Raw genomic sequence first — 4,979 nt, 5'->3', positions numbered from 1 at the left:
ATAAGTAATGATGTTGAGAATCTTGCCATGTACTTATATATCTTCTTTGGTAGCCTCTGTTCAAATGTTTTTAAATATTGAGTTGGGAGATTTCTTTATATATTCTGGATACAAGATTTTTATAAGGTTTGTGTTTTGTGATTTGTTTCTTACTCTAGATTTTTTTTTCATTTTTATGACAGTTTATTTCACAGAGCAGGCATTTTTAACTTTAATGAAATTCTATTTATTAGCCCCTTTTTAATGGGTCGTGTTTTTGTGCCTTAAGAAATAATTCCCTCACTCAAGTTTGCAAAAAAATTTCTCTTACATTTTCTTCTAGAATATTTTCAAAATTCATTTGGCTATTTTAAGCCCTTTCATTTCCATATAAAGTTTATGATCAGCCTATCAATTTGAAAAAAAAGAATCTGCTAGGATTTTGATTGGGATCTCATTGAACTTATAGATAAACTTGGGGAGAATTGACGTCTTATCAGTATTCAGTCATCCTATTCATAAACATAATATATTGCTTTTTTTTTTTTTTTGAGATGGAGTCTCACTCTGTCTGCCAGGCTGGAGTGCAGCTCTGCCTCGCAGGTTCAAGAAATTCTCCTGCCTCAGCCTCCCAAGTAGCTGGGACGACAGGCCCATGCCACTACGCCCAGCTAATTTTTATACTTTAAATGGAGATGGGGTTTTGCCATGTTGGCCAGGCTGATCTTGAACTCTTGACCGCAAGTGATCTGCCTGCCCTCAGCCTCCCAAAGTGCTGGGATTACAGGTGTGAGCCACCACACCTGACCAATATATTGCTCTTTTATTTAAATATTTAATTTCCCTTAATGTTTTTGTTTTTAGCATACAAAATTGTACATATTTTGTTAAACTTTTCCCTAATTATTAATTATTTCATGCTTTGATACTCTTGTAAATTATAATTTTTAAAATTTCAATTTTGGAGTGGACACTCCTAGTATATAAAATATGACTGATTATTATATATTGATCTTTTATTCTGTGATCTTGGTAAACTTACTTTTTATTTTAGTAAGTTTCTTTAGATTATACATGTGTAAAAAATCATCTTGTTTGGAAATAGAAAGTGTTTATATCTCCCTTTTGAATCTGTATGTCTCTTACTGGTTTTTATTCTCTATTGCCTCAGCCAGTTCCTCCAGTGCAATATGGAATAGATGTGGAATGAATGAACATCCTTGCCTTGCTCCTTATCAATTGGTGGTGTTGAGGGGAGAAATTAATTCTTTCACCATTAATAATAATAACAATAGGGTTTTTGTAGATGTCTTTTTTCAGGTTGATGATGGTTCCTCCTATTATTAGTTTCCTGAAAGTTGTTGGTGTTTTTTTTTTTTTTTTTTTGAAGGAGAGTCATAAATGAAGATTCAATTTTGTCAATTAAAAAAGTTGTTTTCAATTATTGAGATTGTTTTGCTTTTTGTATATTAATATAATGAATTATAACTTTTTTGCCAAGATAAACTCCACTTGATTATGACATATTATCTGTTTTCTTTATTGCTGAATTTAAGTGCTGATATTTTTTTAACAATCTTTATTCATAAGAGATATAGACCTTTTGTTTTTAGAAAGTTCATCTCTCATGTATAGTATCAGGGTTATGCTTATCTTGTAAAATGATTGAAGAGAATTATACCTTCATCTATTTTTTGGAAGAGTTTTTGTGGCGTTTGCATTATTTCTTTCTTAAATATTTGGAGAATTCACTAGTGAAGCCATCTATGCCGTTAGTTGTCTTTGTAGAAAGGTTTCTAGCTAAAACTTTAAATGATTTAATAGATATAGGGCTAATCACTTTAGCTATTTTTTTTTCTGAATGCACTCTTATAGCTTGTATCTTTTAAATATGTCCACTTCATTAATTATTAGAGTGTATTCATACTATTTTTATTTTGTCCTTCTGATAGCTATAGGATCTGTAAGTGATGTCCCTATTTCATTCTTAATTCAGTATTTTTTAAAATTTACTTTTAATTATTATGAGTACATGATAGTCATACATACAGTATTCTTCTTTAAGCTTTTTTCTTGACCATTCTAGTATTTTATCAAATTTATTTATTCAAGAAATCAATATTTGCTTTAATTAATTTTCTATATTATTTTTAACATTTTATTTTGTTGATTTTACTTTGTATTATTTCTTTCCTTTTGTTTCATCTGGGTTTAGTTTTCTCATATGTTTTTATTTTCTTAAGGTAGATTCTTAAATTGCTGATTATAGACATTTCTTGTATTCTAATATAGGGATTTATTGCTATGATATGGTTTAGTTTTGTGTCCCCACCCAAATCTCATGTTGAATTGTAATCCCCAGTGTTGGAGGAGGGGCCTGGTAGGAGATGATAGTGTGTCTGGAATTGGTTCCTTCCGGTGGGTTCTTGGTCTCGCTGACTTCAAGAATGAAGCCGCCGACCCTTGCGATGAGTGTTACAGTTCTTAAAGATAGTGTGTCCGGAGTTTGTTCCTTCAGATGTTCAGATGTGTCCAGGGTTTCTCCCTTCTGGTGGGTTTGTGGTCTTGCTGACTTCAGGAGTGAAACTGCAGACCTTCGCAGTGTGTTATAGCTCTTAAAGGTGGCGTGTCTGGAGTTGTTCGTTACTCCCGGTGGGTCTGTGGTCTTGCTGGCTTTAGGAGTGAAGCTGCAGACCTTTGCAGTGAGTGTTACAGCTCATAAAGGTAGTGCAGAACCAAAGAGTGAGAAGCAGCAAGATTTATTGTGAAAAGCAAAAGAACAAAGCTTCCACACTGTGGAAGGGGACCCCAGCGGGTTGCCGCTGCTGGCTCGGGCAGCCAGCTTTTATTTCTTTGTTTGGCCCCACCCACATCCTGCTGACTCATCCATTTTACAGAGAGCTGATTGGTCCATTTTACAGAGAGCTGAGTGGTCCATTTTACAGAGAGATGATTGGTCCATTTTTACAGAGTGCTGACTGGTGCGTTTACAAACCTTTAGCTAGACACAGAGCACTGATTGGTGCATTTACAATCCTCTAGCTAGACAGAAAAGTTCTCCAAGTCCCCATCTGACCCAGAAGCCCAGCCAGCTTCACCTCTCAATGCCCCCTCTAAACAGGACACCCCAACTGCTGTTGGGAATTGGGCAATGACTGTTCTAGCTACTTCCTGCTGGATAGGGGCGAAGAAGGGGCCCTGCAGTTGTAGTGTCCTCCAAAAGGGAACTCTTTAGGCCAGTGAAAGGGCCAGCAGGTCAGTCCAGGGGTCCTCGGTAGAAGTTGTTAGTTGAGCTCATTTGGGGTTCTTTTTGTAAGACCATCTGTAGCTTGATGGACTTGATTCTAGAGGAAACAAATTTGACAAGGAGGTTAAAAATACAGGGCCCGAAGGTGAGTAATAGCAAGATGGCTGCCATGGGCCCTAGAAGGGGGAGAAGCCATGTTGCCCAACTCCAGAGGTTAGTATAAGAGTTGTGAAAGGCGTTGTCTGATTTCAGAAGCCTTTTCCTGTTAACACTGGGTGGCATCTTGTACTATCCCTGACTTGTTAGTGTAAAAACAACACTCTTCCCCTAAGAAGGTGCAGAATCCTCCTTTCTCAGCAATGAGGAGGCCTAGACCTCCGCAGTTTTGGAGAGCCACTGCTGCTTTTTCCTTAATCACCCGGGAGGACCCATCTATTGTCCTGTCCTGAAGGGAGTTCCTCCTATGTCTGGTTGGACTTTTGTATGGTAATGAGATTTAGATCTCCTGTTAGGAAACCTGCTGGGTTAAGGATTTTGGATAGGAAGGCTATGGGTTGTCAGTGGCCTCAGTGCTTTTGGGCTATGCCCTTGTTTGTACTGACAACAAGGTGGTATTGGAGTGTTACAGAGAAGACCTTCAATTATCAATTATAGGTTTTAAATTTACTCTGTTTTAAAGGAATAGGGTACACTGTTTTTTTCTTTACCACTTCTATCTCTTTCTCTCTCTTTGACTCCTTTGTCTCTTCCTCTCTTTCCTTCTCTCTTTGACTTTCTGTGTCTCTCTCTTTCTCTCTCTCTCACTCCCTCTTTCTGTCTCTTCCTCTATCTCTTTGTCTTTGTCTCTTTCTTTCTCTCCGATTCCCTCTTTTTCTCTCTCTTCCTCTGTCTCTCTCTCTGACTTTCTCTTTCTCTCTTTCCTTTCTGCTGGTCTTTCCCTGCCTCTGCCAGCCACTTATGCTGCTGTTCTCCCCTCTCCTTCCCCTTTTTGATGGCTTTGACAGTGTAAGACTGCCACCTCCTTGGGTTTTTGCACTGCATGCAATAACTCCATGGTTTCCTTGTGGTATTTAATGGGGTTCCCCCAGAGGTTAGGAACTCCCTTTCTTTCCATATTGCAGCATGGACATGTAGGATTAGATAAGCATACTTTCTACTGTATACACATTTATTCTTTTTCTTTTTCCCAGTTCTAAGGCTCAGGTAAGTGCCACTAGTTCTGCTAATTGGGTGCTGATCCCTGGGGGAAGAGGCTTACTTTCAAGTTTGGTTACATCACTAACTATGGCATAACCTGCCCTTTGTATCCCATTCTCCACAAATGAACTTCCATCGGTATATAGGTTAAGGTCAGGATTAGCTAAGGGGACTTCTAAGAGATCATTTTGGGCGGCATAAGTCTGGATTATAATTTGTTGGCAGTCATGCTCGATTGGTTCCCCATCCTCTGGGAGAAAATTGGCAGGGTTGAGGGCCATGCACGTACGTATTTGAAGCACTGGTCCCTCAAGGAGTAGTGCCTGGTATCTAAGTAGGCAGTTGTCTGATAGTATGCCATTTACATCATGAGTAGTCTGGACAGTGAGATCCTTTCTTTGTATTATTTTGATAGCCTCTGACACTAAGATGGCCACCACCACAAATACCCTTAAACAGTGAGGCTAGCCTTTTGCTACTACATCAATTTCCTTACTTAGGTATGCCACTTGTTGTGGGGTTGTCCCATGAATCTGAGTAAGGACTCCAAGAGCTA

General features: G+C 38.4%; 1 annotated feature.

Annotated features, from left to right (window-relative positions):
• Positions 3,424–3,944: an enhancer, noted in NCBI's record as "NANOG hESC enhancer chr3:190909180-190909700 (GRCh37/hg19 assembly coordinates)". NCBI's record gives its function as "activates a minimal SCP1, AML or CMV promoter by ChIP-STARR-seq in naive H9 embryonic stem cells {active_cell/tissue: H9 hESC(naive)}" and the evidence as "EXISTENCE:reporter gene assay evidence [ECO:0000049][PMID:30033119]".

Source organism: Homo sapiens, chromosome 3 (assembly GCF_000001405.40).
Source record: "Homo sapiens chromosome 3, GRCh38.p14 Primary Assembly".
NCBI lineage: Eukaryota > Metazoa > Chordata > Mammalia > Primates > Hominidae > Homo > Homo sapiens.
The sequence above is the reverse complement of the archived record's forward strand: the minus strand, read 5'-3'. Positions and strand labels throughout refer to the sequence as shown.